Below are 20,382 nucleotides of genomic sequence, written 5' to 3'. Positions count from 1 at the left end.
TCTCCCTGGAGCCTCTGGAGGGACTGGAGTCCTGTGCTTAGATTTTAAAATCTTGATTGTGGACTTCTGGATTCTAGAACTATGATAGAATACATTTCTGTTGTTTTAAGCTACTAAGTTTGTGATTGTTACAACGGTCCTAGAAAATTCATACACTGCATACAGAATAAAACATTTGAAGAGACTATCCAAGTGCTTGAGATGTTTACAGTGTGGCCTATTTTCTCAGCCTTCTCCTTCCCACCTGCCACCTACCTTTGACTTCAGATGTTTTCAGAGATTTTCCAGAGCTGAGTTTTGCACCATCTCTTCCAGTATACAGGGAGAGAGAAGTTGGGGGGCTGATGCCTCCAGCCCAAGGGGTGCTGGTTGCAGAGGCACAAAGCCTTCCCCTGGACTGAGATATCCAGGGGGACTTTCTGGCAGAGCCAGGTGGGTTTGGCTCCATTAAGTCAGCAAGGGGAAGCCCTGGATGAGTCTTGAGCAGGGGAGCAATGAGGCGCTCTGGGCAGTGTGCTGTAGCCGTAGGTGTAGGTGGGACTGGGAGTGGGGTGCCAGGGCAGAGCAGTACATTATGCGGAGGTGAGGAAGGCCCAGCTGGGCATGGTGGACGTGGGAAGCAGGACGAGGGGGAGACTCAGTTGGAAGATGTGGCACAAAATGCTTTGTGACCAAAGCACAAAGGGTGGAGGGGAGAGCACAGGAGAGTGGGCATGGCTCCTGCACGGAGCCCAGGAGAACCCCCATGACGCTGGAGGGTATCTTTTTTTGTGGTGGGGCTGAAGGAAAGAAGGAAAGGCTTAGCCTGCCAGGACCCTTCCCTGGCCAGAAATATTCCTAGATGACCCCACACATACCACAGGCATACATGCACACATACAGAGACTCAGGTATACGTGCACAACCACACACACACACACACACACAGAAATGCACAGACCAAGTGCCCAGGGACACACACACACACACACACACAGATAGGCACAGAGGCAAATACACACAGGAGCACACATGTGCACAGTGGCACATGCACCGACACACAGACTTACAGAGGGTCCATGCCCCCAGTCCTCTCCTCCGCCTCCCACTGCCTTTCACTCACTCTCTCCCTCCCGCTACAGTCACCTCTGGCACAAGTTCACTTGGATTCCCCACTAACAGGGAGGGTGGGACCAGTCCTAGCCAGGGGTGGTGAGGGAGAGACAAAAGCAGAAGTCCAGGCACCCAGTGGGGTTCCTACCTCTGTGTCAAAGACGATGGCAGAGCTGCACACACACGTGGGCAGGAACCCACTGACACTCAGGAACAGACACCCAGAGAGACTGAGCTCCAGACACAGCAAGAAATTGAGATTCCAGAGTCACACCATGATGCAGACAGAAAGTCAGACAGGAAAAGATACTCAGGTACAAATAGACACACACAGATCCACACTCAGACACACACACAGCATGCACACAGTACAGCACACACACCCACAGACACATAGCAACACCCCCTCCCAGACTCAAAAGACACATACATCCACACGCGCGCACACTCACACATACACACATCCCAGCACGCACACAGACAGACCCACACACACCTCCGACAGAAAGAGATACACGCAGAGGGAGACACTCTGACACCCAGACACATACATGCAAAAATACACAGACACACTGCCAGGTCGACACAGAGGCAGAGCCAGGGAGACAAAGAGGCTTTGAGCGTGGCCGGTCTGCCCCCAGAACCCAGACATCCTGGCTTTGCAGTCCCCCTAGGAACCCTCCAAAACGCCAGGAGAAATTCCTGGGATATTAGCTAAATTTCAGACACAAACATTCCCGTCTCCCTCTCCAGATGTAATGCTCATGAAAGCTCACACAGCCGCCCTCAGCTGCCCCCACCCCTGGCTCCTAGGAATGCTGCCTGTGGGCTCCAGGAAAGGGGTGGTCCTGAGAGCTGAAGGGACCACACTGGGCAGGGAGCAGGGGGCTGCTTTGGGGAGATCCCAGCAGATGGGAAGGGTCAGGCAGAGAGGGGGCTCCCTGTTGCAGGGTGGGGACACCACCCAAAGCAGGGGCTGACCAGGCCCTGGGGAGCAGTGAGGGGGCTGGAGACTGGTCAGAAACCCTGAGTTGGAACGCAGCGCCAGGCAGGAAGGCATGGTTCATTGCAAGGATTCTTGCAAGGGAATGGGCCTTGCTCACCTCCTGCCCACAGGGCCACCTGTCAGCAGCAGGAGCATTCAGGGCCTTCCCACCACAGGGCTTGTGCACCCTCTATTCCATCTCCCTGAAATGCTCTTCCCTTGACTCTGTCTCAACCTCAGACAAGCATCCCCACCCACCTAGGCCTCTTGTTATTTTCTTTTAAAACACCTTCTTCTTCTTTTTCTTTCTTTCTTTTTTTTTTTTTTTTTGAGACGGAGTCTCGCTCTGTCGCCCAGGCTGGAGTGCAGTGGCGCGATCTCGGCTCACTGCAAGCTCCGCCTCCCGGGTTCACGCCATTCTCCTGCCTCAGCCTCCTGAGTAGCTGGGACTACAGGCGCCCGCTACCACGCCCGGCTAATTTTTTGTATTTTTAGTAGAGACGGGGTTTCCCGTGTTAGCCAGGATGGTCTCGATCTCCTGACCTCGTGATCCGCCCGCCTCAGCCTCCCAAAGTGCTGGGATTACAGGCGTGAGCCACCGCGCCCGGCCTCTTCTTCTTTTTCATAGAGTATGTAGGTACTTCTTGATTTGCTTCTGAACTAGACCAGAAGTTCCATGAGGATAGAGACCTGCTTATGACAGTCAGAGCTTAGCGAGTAGCAAGCGCTCAGCAAAGCCACATGTGCCATTTAAACATTCTCCAGACTTCAGCTTCCATATCTATGAAATGGGTTGAAATTGTATCTCTTCTCTTACGAGAAGAAAATGAGATGATGAATGTGGAAAGGGCTTTGGCAAACATCTTCTCACCTTATGTGAGGGCTGTGTGGTCTTCTTAGATCCTTGATAAGGTTAGGGGCCAGCCTAGATTGAGACACAGACAGTGCACTGTAAACATGTTCCTAGAGGTCGGGCACCGTGGCTTATGCCTGTAATCCCAGCACTTTGGGAGGCCGAGGCAGGCGGATCACGTCAGGAGATCGAGACCATCCTGGCTAACACGGTGAAACTCTGTCTCTACTAAAAATACAAAAAATTAGCCAGGCGTTGTGGTGGGCACCTGTAGTCCCAGCTACTCGGGAGGCTGAGGCAGGAGAATGGCGTGAACCTGGGAGGCGGAGCCTGCAGTGAGCGGAGATTGAGCTACTGCACTCCAGCCTGGGTGACAGAGCGAGATTCCAACACAAACAAACAAACAAAACAAACAAACAAAAAACAAAAACATGTGTCTAGAAGTGCTTGGTTGCCTAAGAAGTATGTTTCTGGAAGTGCCATGAAGTGTCCTAACTGATGATTCCTGGAATTCCACTGTAGTACCACAAATCTGTGTCAACTCAAACTCATTAGAGCATCAATGATTCACCATCAAAGTCAAGAGGTGGCCAGCTAGAGCTTTTCCTGAGACACAAATGGCCCAGAAATCTGGGTGTTTACACATCTAGATCAGGTAAACAGTCATGTGTCCCAGCATCTGGGACCCCAGAGTCACAGAGGTGCACTGGCTCTGTGGGCCATCCCAGGATACGCTGAAATTCATACTCCCCATCTGCTCCATCTATTAACCCATTCCATCTCTCTCTTCACATAGCCAGGAGGGTGCTTTGGCTTCTTGCAGAGGACAGCAGCTGCCAGGCAGTTTTGCCTCTTGTGAGAAGAGTGGCCATGGGTGAGTTATTTAACAACTGTGGGCTTCAGTTTCCCCTATATCCTCTACCCCACACTTCTTCCTTGAGAAGAAAGTGGCTCAGCATATGTGCAAATTCCTGAGAGTGTTGCTGCTAGCAGCACCTCAGCAAATGGTGACTGTGAAGCTGACAATCCCCATTACCACGACGATGAAATGGGGAGCTTCCAAAATGATGATGGCATGCGGGTTTGTTGCCCTCGGCAGAGGCTGCTGGGTCTAAGATCTAGGCCTGCCTGTCTCCCTGCTCGGACAATGCCTGCTTTGCAAGAGGCAGCTCGTTATGTGGGAGATGTATGTCCTGTCGTAAAGTGTTTAATATTTTAGCTCCTAATTGCATTACCAGAGACAGACAGCTGTTTATCCTCATCACTCTCCCATCGTTGTCTTTGGCAGGACCCACTGGGCTGCTCCAGGTGTTTCCTCGCCTCCTCTTCTGAAAATCCAGGGAGGCCATGCAGGCTCCTCCAGGCTGCTTGGTGTGGTCAGGCCGTGAGTGGTTCCAGCAGGCGGGAGCCTATGTTGGCGCCGGAGTGGGTGCAAGTCAACCCACATTCCATCGCCTCCTCCTTTCTGCCCGCAGGAGCCTTCTTCTTTATTAGGCATCGCCCCAGCAATCAACTCATCTGATCTTCACAGCAGCCCTGCAAGGTAGGCACTGTTACTCTTGACCCCATGATACAGAGGAGGGAATTGATGCTGGGGGAGGCTGTGTCCTTCACTCATTCATTCGCTTATTCATTCATTCGGCAATCTTTTTTGGTAGGAGCAGCATTGTGGAAGGAGCTAGGGATGTTAAAATGAATAAGATCCAGCCCCTCACCCTCAGGGACCCCACAGCCTCGCACAGAAGGAAGTTGACAGTGGAGCCTCTGCCCCTCCAGGTAGTTCCCACTGCTGGCCAAGTGGTCGTTTTGAGACATAGATCAACCTCAAGTCCAGACCCTGTGGATGGATTGCCCTCCCCAGATTCTAAGATTTCTAGTTAAATTCTTGTCTAATCCCAGCCTCCTCCCACCTTGCTTCACCACACAAGCCACTCCAAGCCTCCTGCTTGACACTCACCCCACGTGTGACCACCCTGCTCCTTATTTTTCCTTCCAGCCGCCTGTCCTCCCTGGTGCTACAATCCTGATGTTGTTGGGCGGTGGGCAGAAGACTCTTGTATCATGGCCCCTGCCCAGCCCTAGTGTAGGTCAATCATGGTCATTCTAAACCCCTTTGCCAGGTACTCCCTTAGCCTTCCTCACAGCCAGGGGTGGCAGGTCCAATGACTGAGTCAGTGAGAACCAGGGGAGGTTCTTTGAGGCCTTAGGGGACAGAAGGGGGCAGAGAGTTTCCTTGAGTCTTGCCTTTGCCCTTCATCCTGCCTGGACCTGAGTTGCATACGGATGAGATGCTTAGAGCTGCAGCAGCCATCTTTTGACCATGTGGCAGCAAACAAAGGGCTAAAAGCTAGGACATGGAGGGAGACCAAGTGGAAATGAGGGCTGAGCCTGGGTGTCTGCTGGGGGTCATTGGGCCTCTGAAGGATCCAGGGCCTTACTGCACTGGAGTTTCTGTAAGTGGAGAGCACACGGCTTCCTGCCTCAGCACTCCCTCTGGTCTCTGCTGCATGCACCAAATCCTTCCTGATGGTACCCGAGCTGGGCCCCTGCATCTCACTCCAGTGCCCTGGTTTTGCTTTGTGAGCTGCTTCTCCTTTTTTAAGGCCTAACCCAAAGTTCCTTTCCAAGAAGTTTCCTTTGACTTCACCTCACCCCACCCTGACCACAGGGCTGGTCGCCCACTCCTTTGCATAGGCACAGCACACTGTGCACGGTCCTTTGTAGCCCCCACCACACTGATTTGTAACTCTCCATTTTCCTGGTCTGTCTGCAGACACACTGGGAGGTTCTGGCCTGTGGAGGAGCCCATCGAGGTTTGAGTGAGGGAGCCGACAAAGAAGTGAATGCAGGAACCATCACTGGCAACAGAAGCAATGGTCCTCCATGTGTCCTTACATCACTGAATCTTCCCAGGGGCCTTGTGAACCATGACTGATGCTCACCCTCATTTGCAGGTGAAGAAACTGAGGTCAGAGAGGACAGGGTTAGGTCTTTCCAGGTTGGAGGGAAGCCTTTGGGCCACACGGTAGGCAGGTTGGCTCCAGCCCTGCTGTCCTGCCTGACTCCCAGGCCCTGTGGGGCCTCTTCCTGCTGTGGGCAAGGCTGCCTGCAATCAGGCCATTTGCAGGGCAGTGGGTGGCAGAGCCAGGTGCTTGGCCTGGGGCAGCAAACAGACCTTGCTTGTCCTGTCACAGCTGCCCCAGGGAAGGGTTCAGAGGCCATTTTATCCACACAGATGGGGCTGGGGCCCATCAAAAAATAAGACCCAAGCAAGGCCTGCCGGGGGATGAAGTCATGTGGAAAAACACTCAAGTCAGAACAAAACTGTCTTTCTGAAAACGACTTCATCACGTTGCCAGAAGCGTCAGATCACTCTGCCTCTCACCTCTTCCAGCCCGCCCACAGGAGCGGGGAAGACCAGTTCCTCGGGTCTGGTTACATCATTTAGGCAAAAATAAATGTTACAGAGACCCACCCAGGAGGTGCTGGGGAGCCAGTGGCTCCATCTTCCCCCACGGCCCTGGCCTCCTCTGACCCACCAGGCTGGGAAGTCCTGGAGAGCAGGCTTGGGCTTTCTCCAGCTCTGTGTGCCCAGTGTCAAGCGCAGAAACAGAGCTCAGCTTCCTTTTGTCAGAGTCTGGCAAATGAAACTAAACTAAACTAAACTAAAATAAAATAGAATAAAAAGCACTCAGTGAATGCATACGTTCATGCATTCAGCAAATTCTGCTTCTACCAGGCACTGTGCCGGCATTGAAGTTACGCTTGCAGAAAGAAGAAACAAAAGATTGAAGGAGTGAAGGAATAAATTCCTCACTAGGGTGACAAGGCACAACAGAGCAGGATGGGCCCCACAGAGGTGTAAAGAAAGCTGAGTTCCATTGCCTACTCCAGTAATACGTTTCTACTCAACAGAATTGTCTTGAGCAGAAGATCCTGGCAACACGGTGAGCACCTAGGGATTTAGGGAAGCCACTCTAGCACTCTGGCATTGATTGTCCTGGCAGGAGACAGATGACATCAGTTACTGGAGTTCCCTGCTACAATGGAGATACGGCCAAGGTGATGTGGGGCATGCGGGAAGAGGTGCTGGGTGGGCTGGCCAAGGAGGTGGACCTTGGAGAAGAACATACCAGGCTGTCCAGGAGACGTGGGGAAGCTTTGGAGGTGGCATGGAGCTTGGAAAAGGGCAGACAATTCCCTGTATAGGAAGCACAGGCAGTTTGAAGTAAGCAGCAAGAGATGGGGTTGGTGAGGCAGGCTGGTAGCAGGTGAAGGGGAGAGTGGGCTTCGCTCTATGCTGAGTAGGGAGCTATTGGAGGGCTGACGAAATAGAGTGTCCAGCTCAGGAGTGCATTTCAGAAAAGCTGCTCCAGCCTGGAGGGCAGTTTGCCTGTAACAAAGAGGTCTCCTTAGAGGTCCTTGGACCACCCCAGGATCTAGGAGTAGAGCAGCGGCAAAGGGGATGAGAATAAGACAAAGGATAGGTAGAAATGCCCATCACTGAGGGGACTTGGAGACCTACTGGATGAGGGGACAAATGGAATCTGAGGTTGTGAGTTAAAACTGTGACTCTAAGGCAATGGCAAAGAAATTTAAAATAATGGGGGCTGAAGAAGTAAAAGCCCAGGTACCTGGTCCCAGGTTGGTCTAGTAGCTCCACAAACATCAGAGCCCCAGATTCCTCCCACCTTTTTAGTCATACCCAGCCTTGAACATGCGGCCCAGAAAGGCTGTTCCAACTCCCGTTGTCACATCTGCAATCCACTTAGTGGAATGAAAGAAAAGAGGGAGGGGGGCGCACTCATTCATCTCAAAGATATGACTTCGAATTCCACACATCTCTGCTCACATCCTATTGGTAGAGCTTAGAGGCAAGACCATACATAGCTGTAAGGGATGCTGGAAACGGTAGGCTGCCAAGTGCCCAGCTAAACATTCTTCCATTGTGGAACATGGTGGGGGATGGAGCTATGGGAGGACAACTAGGGAGGTTGTGCAAGCCCAGTGGCCACTCTGAGCTTGATATTTCTCATTTACAAAACATATTCCATGAATAGTCACACTTCCTTTTTTACCAAATAAATGTAAATATGATCCCTTCTCTGTCAACTGCACGCTGTGTTTTCCTGGCAAGTCAGATGTCCCTATTTGGAGACAGCTTTCCCAGCCATTGAAGGAGACATTGGAAAATATCCTCAACATGGACTTTACGGGGCTTACAGAGTGGAATCTCAGGGTCTGTGAATTCCATATAATTATATGCTCAATTTGGGGCATACAGTTTTCTTGAGAGAGAGTTTATGGCTTTGTGTTTACACGTTTAGCATACAGATTTATGAGGAGGCTTACCTTTACGGGGGTTACCCTCAAAAGTTGAAAACAGAATGAAAAAATTGCTCAAGGCCCTCACCACTGATAGTCTATGATTCCTTTGTACCCGCTTTACAGGATACACTTGGAAAGCAGAGCAGGGAAAATAAAAAGGCAATTGAAGGGCTGTGGGTGGTTGGATAACGTGGCTTCGCTTCTTCTGACAGTCCTCCCTGGATGTGGGTGTGGCCCGCCGTCACCAGGCCTTCCCCTGAGTCTCTGCCCTGGCTTAGCTGGGATTTGGCTGGGGGAATGCCTGGCACACTCTGCCTCATGTCTCCCCTGCAGTCCCCAAAGCTCCCCGTCGGAAGCCAGTTAGGATTTCAGAGACACAAGTGAGCTGCTGTGTTTGGCCTGCCAGGTGAAAAAAACAGAGCCTGCATTAAGCAGACGCTCCTCTCGTATCGGCTTCCCTCACCCGTGATGTCTCCAACTGGGAGCAAACCTGTCTCCCTCTCTGGAGCCAGGGATTTGATATTGTCGTGAATGGAGGTTTTCATCCCCCAGCTAGTCGTCTGCCCTCCATGGCGCCTGCTGTCAGTGCCAGGCTTGGCATGGGAGGCCCCAGCTGCGGGAAGAGTGGGGGGATAGGGAAGGGCTGGGCTCAGTGGCTCCCCCACCACCTAGACTTAGTGAAGGCAGAAGAGGCATCATGGCCCAGGAGAAGGAGCGAGAAGGTGGGCACTCCTGAGTGATCACCAGGCAAGGTGGGCTCTGATGGACTGGTGGTTTGTACTAAGTGGGGATTTCTCAGTAGCCCACAGATGAGCAGGACTCCTGAGAGCAGACTTGCTGTCTGCAGTAAAGATGGTACCAAATAAAGCTGAAAACAAGGATTTTACCAAGAGGGGAATGGGACAAGAGGACAGCAATATGGTGCCAAACAACTGAGAGCAGGGATGAGCATCTTGGAACTTGGAGTGCTGGTGAGCAAGAGGAGCCAGCCGGGAAGCAGACAGACCAGCCCCAGGCACCACCTGGGAGCCAGGTTGGCAATAAAGGAAAGCTGGAGAAGAGCAGGGATGGGCTGCAGTAGAAGCCCCGGCACGGGGTTCTGGTGGTAGCAAGTGGCACCTTCAGCCCAAGAGAGCTAGGCCAGCCAGAGAGGCCAGGGCTGGGTGGCGGGGGTGGCCCCATGGCAGGAAAGGGAGCCCTTACCTGCCATGTGCATCTTACGTCTGCAGGCCCTCCTGCCTCATCCCTCTGTTTGCCCTCTGCCCTGCATATTCACTCAGCACAGGCAGGGCACTTTGTTCTCATAGCCTTTGACTGTGACTGCAGGTGTGGGACCAAGGACAGTGGCCAAAGAAAAACAAAGAGAAAGAAGGGAACAGCTACGATTTCTAAGAACAGCACCTGCAGGCCTGCATCCTGGCTGTGAAGCACACACTTGTGCGTTTTCTGGTGGAGACCTCACAAGCCTGCATGTTAGGGCCAGCTCTTATAAATGCCACCAGGCTGAGGACAGTTTCACAGCAGCATCGCTTAGCAGGACCCCACGTGGTGCTAGTCCCTGGGCTGGGCATGCTAGAGAGAGAGACGAGCAAAACCCTTTCTCTGGCCTCAGAAAGCTCACAGTCTGGTCAGGGTGGAATCGGTATTTGCTGAGAGCTTCCTGAAGGTCAGGGTCACTGCTGCTGGGGCCTGCCATATATCACTCAAGTCCCATCCTCATAACATTCCTGGGAGGGGCCAGATCCCCCACTGGAGGAAACAGAGGCCCAGAGATGCTAGGTAACCTGCTCCAGACCACACAGCTGGGTCTTGTGAGGATACATTTTGAATTCCTGTTCTGCCTGTTTCAATGCTTGCCTGTTTCTTGGGGAAGAACCCCACTTCTTTCTTTGGGAGGGCTGCTGCAGAAGGTCACTGGGGTGGCTTGAGGCCTGAGGGCAGGCCTGGCCACAGACCCTTCAAATGATTGCTAAGGCACATGCCACTCAGGAACTCCTGGTCAGATGAGCAGAAGACAAAAGGAGCCTCCACTAGACGGCCACCCGTGCAGGCCCAGATGCCAAGCTCTGGGGAGCATTTGAAGGCAAGTGGGTCAGGCACTGCCCTGTCCCCAAGGAGCTCACAGACCAGTGAGAAACCTATGACAAGAGTGTTAAGACCCACTTCACAGGCATCGAGCCAGTCAAATCTCTGCCATGCCCATTGCAGGGTGACCTGAGGTGAGAACCAGGACTTCTCAGAACCTCAATTTCTTTATCTGTAAAATGCAGATACTAGAACCTAACTCATCACATTATTGCAAAGCAATGTGTGGGAGGCACAAGGCTCAATACAAAGAAGGAGCTTGGCAGTAATAGTAATCATGACTCTTATTACCACTCCAGCCAGAGTTCAGCAGCAGGGAAGAGCAGGTAAATGAGAGGTGTAAGGAAAGCACGAAGAACATGCTATCAGGATTCATGGGTGGGAAGGGGGCAGGGGCGGAGCATGGAAAAGCCTCAGGAGGCTCCTGTTTGTTCATCCTTCCCTTCCCCTTCCCCTTCCCCTTCCCCTTCCCCTTCCCCTTTCCCTTCTCCCCCTCCCTCCCTCCTTTCTTTCTTTTCTTTCTTTCTTTCTTTCTTTCTTTCTTTCTTTCTTTCTTTCTTTCTTTCTTTTCTTTCTTTCTTTCTGTCTCTCTCTCTCTTTCTCCCTCCCTCGCTCCCTTCCCTCCTTCCTTCCTTCCTCTCTTTCTTTCTTTTCTTTCTTTCTTTCTTTCTTTCTTTCTTTCTTTCTTTCTTTCTTTCTTTCTCCTTTTCTCTCCCTTTCTTTTCTTTCCCTCTTTCTTTTTTTCTTTTTCTCTTTCTTCCTCTCTCTCTTTCTTTCTTTCTTTCTTTCTTTCTTTCTTTCTTTCTTTCTTTCTTTCTTTCTTTCTTTCTTTCTTTCTTTCTTTTTTTTCTCTTTCACAGGGTCTTAAGGGTCTTGCTCTGTTGCCCAGGCTGGACTGCAGTGGTGAGATCATAGCTCACTGCAGCCTCAACCTCCCAGGCTCAAATGATCTTCCCACCTCAGCACCCCCAGTAGATGGGACTATAGGCATGCACCATCACACCTGGCTAATTTTTGTATTTTTGGTAGAGACAGGGTCTTGCCATGTTGCCCAGGGTGGTGTCGAACTCCTAGGCTCATGCAATTCTCTCACCTTGACCTCCCAAAGTACTGGGATTACAGGTGTGAGCCCCACACCCAGCCCCTTTACACTGTTTATTTTTCTAATGCTCTTGTTTGGGGACTTTTACACTTATTCCAGAACATGCAGTCAGCACCCAGTGACTATCTGTGGAAGGAGCGAACCAAGGAATGATGTCTCCAGCTCCAGTGCTCCAGAGTTTCAGATGTGGCTCTGTTTCATCCCCATCCTGGCTGCTCTGGTTCAGAGAACTTGGGTGGCAGACTCACTGCCAGCAGTGGGGAGCAGCCCCTGCCCCACACGGGCCCAGCCTCAAGGTCCCGGAGTAAGCACTTCTTGCTCCAAGCCATCTTCTAGAGAGATGGGAGACAGGGAAGCTAGGAGCTTCTACCACCATCTGAGTCACTGTGGATGGAGAGAGCCGCTGGAGAGACAGGAGTGCAAGGGCCTGGCGTGGCTCTGCAGCTCTGGAGACGTGGGACAGGCCACTTGCCTTTCAGGGGTGCTATGGCAGAGCCTACCCCGTTGGCCTTCTCAGCAGTTTGCCTTATGTCTAAAGCTTCCTGGGCCTGCAGCACAGGGTGCTAGTTTTGCCTATGGGGGCAGCCAACCCTCTACCAATTAGGTTAGAGTTGGTGGTGTACAACCCATTCCTCAGCGGGTCAGCCTGAGACATGTCCTCCCCAGCCTTGCAGACTGTCCCGAGGGGGAGTGAAATATAAAGATGACCTATTTACGAATCCATCCTTTACATGCTTGTCTTTGTTCACTGTCTTGATATCGGTGTTCCCACTGTGCCTCCACGGCCTCCTGCCTCCTGTGTTCTTGGCTCCTTCTCAGCCTGGCTGCCTGGCCCTCACCCTGAGCCTGGGGAGAAGTCAGGACCTTTCACTTGCCGGCTCTGGGTTATACGATGATCTTCTGTTCCCAGGATTCAGCCTTTTGCCTAACAGGAGGACCAGGAAGTGAGAAAAAAAATTAAACAGCTTTGGGCTGGCTTTGGGAGGAGTGGCAGGGAGCTCCCTCCAGCCTCCTGTGAAATGGGTGTGCTGGCTTTATATTTCGAGAGAATGCTGTCGGACGAACGGGTAAAGGGCTGACTCATCAGTTGTTAATGGCCCTAACACCCAGCATCTGCGAGCCCTCCTGGGACGTCGTCGTAGGGTGATTTGCTTTTCAGGGCTCTGACATCAGAGGCCTTGTCTCTGTCTGCTGGAGTGTGTCATGCTCTCGCTCTTCGCAGGAAAACTGCTTAATGCTATGGCAAAAGAAAAGTAATAAAATATTCATTTGCCAAGGCTAGAGGGTGGAAGCTATCGAATCCTCCAGGAGAAGGAGTCCTAAATTAAAGACACGCACAGACCCGGATGAAAGCACATGGCCACACAGCAGACATTCTTAGGCACACAGCACGTATAGGAAAAACAGCCTCCCATGTACCCAAAAGCATCTGCCTGTGCACACACAAAGCCCTGCGTGTGCAAGCACACATGTACCCATCACACACCTATGCAATACACAAGCCTGCACTAACGACACACCCACGTCACGATGTGAAGACACACGCACATTGCACAAGCCTGTGGAACCCTGCTCCATACACACACACGCACACACCTATACCTATTCCCTCACCGTTGTAATTAAAAGTGACATCTTCCTAGCTCATCTACTGGGGGCGGGAGAGCCCATCAAACCGGCCCTGACTTTTGAACAATAGCCGCCTGTCTGGCTGTCCCGAGGAAGCCTGGCTCTGTCAGGCAGAAAGCAGATGCCGTGCTGGGGGAAACAGGGGAAGTGTGACTCAGAGGTGAGTTACACAACTTGGTTCTGCCTGTCTGCTGTGCCCAGGAGGAGGATGGGGGAAGCTAGCAAATGGGAAAGCTGAGAGGCTGCTGCACTTCTGGAAGTTTCCACATCATCAGCCTGGAGGAGGCTGAGGCTCCCCGAGGGTGGCATGAGGAGGCTGCTGCGCTGTCATGAGCAGGAACACATGTGCTTGATCACATGGGGCGCCTTCCCTCAGAGGGAGGGGTGCTGTGGCTGTCACCTTCTCGCTAAGGTTATAGCCTTCCGCTGACCTGCTCCTGCCCATCTGGCCTGCTGCCACAGGGCACCACCACGCCTATGTAGACAACAGGTTGGCCCCAGGCTTGGGTTGTGGACACACAAGTTGGCCTGCATCTATAAAGATGCTGCCTACTGATGGTTCTAGAAGCCCTGACGGAGTAGCTTATAACTAGAGGATTGGTGCCCAGACCTGAGATTTTGGAAACGATCCCAGCTCACAGATTTCCTGAGAATGACAATGTCCTGGCTCCCTGGGATGTTTTTTTGTTTTCTGTTTTTTGTTTTGTTTGTTTGTTTGTTGTTGTTTTTTCATACCATCTATTCTACAAACATTGACCAAACATTGACTAAGGGCTAGGGCCTTGGGTAACATAGCTGGTTGCTGGAAGGATCTCACAGTCTGTGAGGGAGGCAGGCAAGGGCCAAAAGTGACTGCAATTTGCTCGTGGAGCAGCTGACTCTAACTGGTTTTGGAAGGTTGAGTTGGCTGGGTAAAGAAAGAGGTATGGATGTGAGTGGGTGGGAGATGGGAGGATAGGAGGGTGTCAAAGAGGGAGAGTTAAATTCTGAGGAGAGGAGTAGCATTCTCACAAAACTGCTTTCCTACACAGATCACTGTAGACCCGGGCTGGCAAAGTACAGCTCACAGGTCAAATCTGGTTCACTTTCTGTTTTTGTAAATAAAGTTTTATTGGAACCCAGCCATGCCCATTCATTTCTTATCTCCAGAAAACTTGAGTAGTCACAGCATGGCCCTCAAATCCCAAAATATTTATGATCTGAGTCTTTACAGAAAAAGTCTGTCTGTGTTCTAGACCCATCCATGAATTCTGGAACCCAACGCAGAATTCCAGAACCAATCACAAAATTTCTACAGCCTACTGTAGTAGTCCAGAATCCAGCATGGTTTTCTAGAGCTCCCTGGAAGAGTGACATTTGTATAGGGATTTAGAAGTTTACAGTGAGCTTTTGCATCAATTATCCCATTTAATCCTCCAACAAGCCTGTGTGAGGTTAATGGTAATTTTATCCCAATTTTGCAGATGAAAAAACTAAGACAAAGGGAAATTAAGGGACTTGCTGAAGACCGCATGGCTGGGAGACGGCTGAGGTCAGGCAGCCTGATTCTAACATTCCATGCTTTTTCCGCTGTATTATCCTACAGATGTTTCTCCGTCACACACTGCACTACTTAGCTGCCCTCCCTGACAGTCATTTCCCCCTTCTTTCTAACTCCCACTGCCACCGAGGAAGTCTTTGGAAGTCTTTTGTCCACTGTGGTGTGTTAGTGGGGAGACAGGGTTTGGAGAAGCATCAAATTTCCTTTCCGCATCTGTTTGCTGGTGCCCAGTGTACCCTGGGATGCTAACTAACAGTGACAGCTGATCTTCAATCGGCTGGCATGTGAGAAGAACCACTGGGTCAGGTAATTCCAGTTCACCTCTTCAGAACTGCATCCAGGAGGCAGCCCCGGGTGGCAGGGATGGTCCTGCCGGAGCTGCTGGGCACTCCTGTGGGGGATGTGATGGAATCTGCCACGTCCCTCACCTACCCACCCCAAGCAGGGGCAGGCACCCTGAACGACCCCTTCTGAACACAGGGCTTGCAGCCTCCTTGCTCATTGGTGTACACAGGAGCTGCTCTTAATGGAATTACACCTCATTTATTAGATACGAGGACCTAAGATGTGGCTGTGTTATATTAGGCGAATTCTGAAGGCTCCCACCCCTGGACACACACACACACACACACACACACACACTCATTTCCTGCAGCTCTGAGGGCTGCTGGCTGGAGCTCTGCATGCTGTGGGTAGCACATTTAACTCGATAACATATAATATACGATGGGATCATATTTAACAAGGAAAACAGGGCCCGAATGGACAGAGGAGCAGTGTGGCTGGGTTGCCATGGAAACCCCTTGTTCGGAATTTCCTGACTCCTAGGAGATTACATTTTCAACCTTAATGCTGTATTAACATAAGCTTTGGCACTTAATGTCTCTGTTTTTCACCTCCCCTCTCTCCCTTGCTTACAGGCAAAAGCAAGCAGCAGAGATGAGCCAGGGAGGAGGAGAGAGGCTGCATTTCATGATCTGGTCAAAACCAGCCATGGCACCCAGACAAGGTGCTCTGCAGCTTTCAAAGTGCATCACATCCATTATCTTCTGTGACCCACAGACAGGTCAGCAAAGCTGGCTGGTGTGAGGTCACCAAGCCCCGTGCAGGTTGCTCCTCACATACCTCTTGCATCCACTCCTTCTTCTCCGTCGCATGCCACTGCCCTTGTCATCTCTCACGGGGCTGTTGCAATAGCTTCCTGCTTGTTTCCCTGCTCCCAGCCTGCGCCCTCTGTCCCCTCTTGCTGCCTGAGTGATCTTTCTGCACTGCAAATTTGTTCACCCTACACAGTAGGCTTAACAGCCTCCAACGGCCCCCAGCAGGTACAGAATAAAGTCCCAACTCCTTTGCATTCAAGTGTTTCTGCTTCTCTCTACAAGCTTGTCTCTAGCAGTCTCCACCACAGTCCCTACCCTCCAACCCCGTAGAGGTGATGATGTCCTTTCGGAATACACAGAGCACTTCCAAGGGCCATACTGCACTTCCAAGGGCAAGCTCCTGCCATGAGCTTAGCTTGGGACCGTAGTCTCTGCTGTCTTCCTGAACGACTCTTAAGCTTCCTTTAAGACCCAGCTTGGCATCACCTCTTTTAGGGGTGTTTCCCTGCCTACCTCACCACCAGTGTTCCCAGGGTGCTGTACCGAATGCTGTTGCAGCCCTTAGTGCCTGATGACCCCTTGGTCCTTCATGAGCCTTTCTCCTCCATCATATGGGGAGCTCGTCAAGCCCCGGTGGGGACATGCCTTCCCCACTGCCATGTTTCCACCACCCAGCCTGGTTCTGGAACCTAACAGGTGTCCAACTGGCATTTGTGAAATCGAGTAAGTGGTGAGGACACTGAGGCTCAGAGCGGTAAGTATGAGTCCAATGCTACTGCCTGGTAAGAAGCTCAGGTAGGGTTTCTCTGCTGTCACTCACCCTCCCAGCATCCCTGCTTGCTCTGGGATCTCTGTGCCATCCACAACTCACAAATTGTGTCTGTTTCCAGCACTACACAGGTCTTCTCTCTAACAAACCCTTCCTTCCCTACATTATCTCCACCAGTTGCCTAATAATCTTGGACCAGCTGGGGCTGGTAGAAAGTTGAGATCTGAAGAATGAGGCTCAGAGACCACCTGAGACACTTCAGCCCATAGAAAAGCCCACACTCCTCCCATGAGACTTATTCTTTTAAACAACAAGGTTCTCAAGGTTTCAAGGAATAGCCACTTGTCCAAGCAAGCCCATGCTTTGGAGTCTTGTAGCAAGGACTGAGGGAGCCATAGTGAGGACTGGAACCTTCACCCTCACAACCAGTGTACTGGGTTGAACAGTGCCCCTTACCCTCAATCATGTCTACCTGGAACCACAGAATGGGGCATTTGAAATTAGGGTCTTTGCAGAGATAATGTAAGAATCTTGAGATGAGCTCATTCTGAATTTAGACCTTGGTGGGCCTAAAAACAATGGCAGGTGTCTTTTCAAGAGACAGAAAAGGAAAAGGCACAGAGACACAAGGGAGAAGTCCTGTGATGATAGAAGTGAAGGCAGAGGCAGAGGCTGGAGAATGTGCCTGCCAGCCAAGGAGTGCTGAGCATGGCTGGAGCCACCAGGAGCCAGGAAAGAGATGTGGATAGATTCTCCCTAAGGGCCTCCAGAGGGAGCCCACTTGGCTGACACCCTGATTTCAGGCTTCTCGCCCCCATCAGTTTAGGGTCATTTGTTTCCTTGACAACCCTAGGAAGCAGATACAGCCAGGCAGTGTAAGAATCTGGGGGAGGTGTCTGCAGGACTGGGGGGAGGTTAGCATACCAGGATGTGATGTCACTCCCTCTTGTCACATGTGGCACTCTGCTTCCCAGACTGGCACCTCGGTCACTGCACTGACCTCGAGCTCCCTCCAGCCCACCGCTCCATCTTCTCTGCATGTCTCAGTCTCAGGTCCACACGCAGCCTCCATTTGCTTGTGACTCTGCAGGTTGAGCTCCCCTGCACCCTTCTGTTGGTGATCTTTTCACTTATATTACATATGCCAAGCCAAGCAGCTGAGTTCCCACTGCATTTAAACTACCCAAGAGAGATGATCTGAAGATTTAGTTATCATTATCCCAAATGGGCAAAGCTTTCACTCCAGGCTACCTTCCAGGCAGCAGCCCCTGGCCCGGCTCCTCCTGGTCATGGTCCACCCTCATGGGTCAGCTCAGTCCAGGGAGGTACAGGTCATGTGTTCCAGTGTGGGAAGGAGGCCCTGAGAGATGGAGCTGATGACCAGGGACACCTCCTGCCCGGATGAGGGCATCTTCACTGTTGAGGCTGAACTTCCTGCAGCATTGAGTAATACGTGGTAGGAAGGGGAGAAGGAAAAAGAATGACACATTTTTTTAAACAAGAAGAAAAATGTTATATTCCAAAAAAACTCCAGAGGGAATTATTTCACCAATTGAAGCTTTTGAAAAGTCACAATTGCAGCCCACTTGTCTCTTTTGCCAGAGGACGGCTGCCTTTGATGAGCTGCTGGGAAATGCTTATTGCTCTGGGTCAGCGTGACAATATTGAGGATGCGAGAGGAGGGCAGGGAGAGGCTGGGCAGGAGAAACCGGACCACAGGGCTCTGTTTGAGATGAGGCCAGCCTGCACACTGCAGGTGTTTGAAGAATGTCTGGGGCAATGGCTCTGGGTGCACTGGGCTGTGCATGCTGCTGCCCACTCCCCAAAAGCTCCCTCGGCACTGCACCATGCTGGAGACGCTGCACAGATGTCCTCTCCTTCAGCCTTCCCTCAGGCTGCAGGGGGCGAGTGTCCGTGCGGTCATGGGATAAGTGATGGAGCCAGGACTTGAACTCAGGTCAGAGGACACTAGGACGCAAGAGTGGAAGGAGTTGTGGGCTTAAGGAGTGGATCCCAGAGTGTGGAGAAGACAGCTATAAAGGGCACTGTGGGGGACAACTGGGGACATTTGAATATGGAGTCCCGATCGGATAATACTAGTATCGCATCAATGTTAAAATTTCTAATTTTGATAACAATACTTTGGAGGGTAGGAGAGTGGCTTGTTCTTAAGAAATACACACTAGGTAGGGCATGGTGGCTCGTGCCTGTAATCCCAGCAGTTTGGGAGGCCAAAGCAGGTGGATCACCTGAGGGCAGGAGTTTGAGACCAGCCTGGCCAACATGGCAAAACCCCGTCTCTACTAAAAATAAAAAAATCAGCCAGGCATGGTGGTGCACGCCTGTAAATCCCAGCTACTTGGGAGGTTGAGGCAAGAGAATTGCTTGAACCCAGGGGAGAAGGTTGCAGTGAGCCAAGATCGTGCCATTTCACTCCAGCCTGGGTGAAAGAGCAAAACTCTGTCAAAAAAAAGAAAGAGAGATAGAAAGATGGAAGAAAGAAAGAAGAAAGAAAGAAAAAAAGAAAGAAAGAAAAAGAAAGAAAGAAAGAGAAAGAAAAGAAAGAAAGACACACTACAGCATTTAAGATGAATGGCAAACAACAACTCCAATTTAATTCTCAAATAGTTCAGAGAAGCAAAATAGAAAGAGAACAATACAGCACATGAGATAACATGTGAGTGGTGGGTGGATCAAGGTGGGGGGCATGTGGGGGTCCTGAACTATTCTTGCCTCTCTGTACATGTGAAACCATACCAAAATTAAAATTATGAAAAAGAAAACTCTGAAGTCCTAGCTCTTTTAACTTTTTAAAAAGCAGCTTTGTTGAGGCACAGTTGCCATACAACAGTCTGCAAGTATTTAAAGTGTATACTTTTGTAAGTTTGACACATGTATATACCCACGAGGCCATTACCACTGTCAAAAGAATGAACACAACTGTCATGCCTGAGTCTCCTGCTCCTTCATAACTCCTTCCTATGGCTCCTTCCTAACCACCTCCATCCCCCAGACAACTGCTTTCTGTTACTACAGATTAGTTTGCATTACCTAAAATTTTATACAGTTTGGTGCAAAAGTAATTGCGGTTTTTGCCATTAAAAGTAATGGCAAAAACCGCAATTACTTTTGCACCAACCATTATATAAATGACAACAAAGCTGCCATGAAAAGTAATGGCAGAAACCGCAATTATTTTTGCACCAACCTAATAGAAATGACATCATACAGTAAGCACTCTTGTTTGCTTGGCTTCTTTCACCCAGGATCATTCTTCTGAGATCCATTCATGCTGTAGTATGTATTGATAGCGCATTCCTTTTTATCGCTGAGTGATATTCCATTGAATGGATATAGAAGAGTTAATTTATCCATTCCTCTGTTGATGGATACTAAAGCTGTTTCCATTCTTTGGCAATTATGAATAAAGCTGCTACAATTATTCAGGTCTTTTATGGACATAGGCTTTTATTTCTCTTCCCGGATATGGAACAGTTGGATTATACAGGAGGTATGTGTTAACTCATTAAGATACTTCTCAACTGTCTTCCAAGGTGGTCACACCACAAGCAGTGCATGAGGGTTCCAGTTTCTTCACATCTTCACCACAAGACTTGGCATTGCTGCCTTTTTGCTTACAGTCACTGTAGTGGCTGCACAGTGGGTGTCATTGTGGTTTTCACTTGCATTTTTCTAATGAAGAACACTATTGATGTGAACATCAAGCCATCCCCTCTCTATACTTCCCTGGGCATTGCACCTCTCTGGGCCAAGAGGCACATGTGGTGAACCTAAGCAGCTCAGCAATTATGGTTCTGTAGCTGCACAAAGGAGAAAGCCCATATCCCCAACAGAGAATATGAAAGTGGATGGGTCCATATGGAAGACCATAGCCCCAG

The 20,382-nt window shown here is 50.7% G+C and overlaps 5 annotated features.

Annotated features, from left to right (window-relative positions):
• Positions 1,517-2,116: an enhancer, noted in NCBI's record as "H3K4me1 hESC enhancer chr10:80527882-80528481 (GRCh37/hg19 assembly coordinates)". NCBI's record gives its function as "activates a minimal SCP1, AML or CMV promoter by ChIP-STARR-seq in primed H9 embryonic stem cells {active_cell/tissue: H9 hESC(primed)}" and the evidence as "EXISTENCE:reporter gene assay evidence [ECO:0000049][PMID:30033119]".
• Positions 6,204-6,283: an enhancer, noted in NCBI's record as "active region_3618". NCBI's record gives its function as "activates an Ori minimal core promoter by ATAC-STARR-seq in GM12878 lymphoblastoid cells {active_cell/tissue: GM12878}" and the evidence as "EXISTENCE:reporter gene assay evidence [ECO:0000049][PMID:35858748]".
• Positions 11,370-12,007: an enhancer, noted in NCBI's record as "H3K4me1 hESC enhancer chr10:80517991-80518628 (GRCh37/hg19 assembly coordinates)". NCBI's record gives its function as "activates a minimal SCP1, AML or CMV promoter by ChIP-STARR-seq in naive H9 embryonic stem cells {active_cell/tissue: H9 hESC(naive)}" and the evidence as "EXISTENCE:reporter gene assay evidence [ECO:0000049][PMID:30033119]".
• Positions 12,008-12,646: an enhancer, noted in NCBI's record as "H3K4me1 hESC enhancer chr10:80517352-80517990 (GRCh37/hg19 assembly coordinates)". NCBI's record gives its function as "activates a minimal SCP1, AML or CMV promoter by ChIP-STARR-seq in naive H9 embryonic stem cells {active_cell/tissue: H9 hESC(naive)}" and the evidence as "EXISTENCE:reporter gene assay evidence [ECO:0000049][PMID:30033119]".
• Positions 13,286-13,924: an enhancer, noted in NCBI's record as "H3K4me1 hESC enhancer chr10:80516074-80516712 (GRCh37/hg19 assembly coordinates)". NCBI's record gives its function as "activates a minimal SCP1, AML or CMV promoter by ChIP-STARR-seq in primed H9 embryonic stem cells {active_cell/tissue: H9 hESC(primed)}" and the evidence as "EXISTENCE:reporter gene assay evidence [ECO:0000049][PMID:30033119]".

Source organism: Homo sapiens, chromosome 10, assembly GCF_000001405.40.
Source record: "Homo sapiens chromosome 10, GRCh38.p14 Primary Assembly".
NCBI classification, from domain to species: Eukaryota; Metazoa; Chordata; class Mammalia; order Primates; family Hominidae; genus Homo; species Homo sapiens.
Note: the sequence above shows the minus strand (reverse complement) of the source record. Positions and strands in the feature narration are given on the sequence as shown.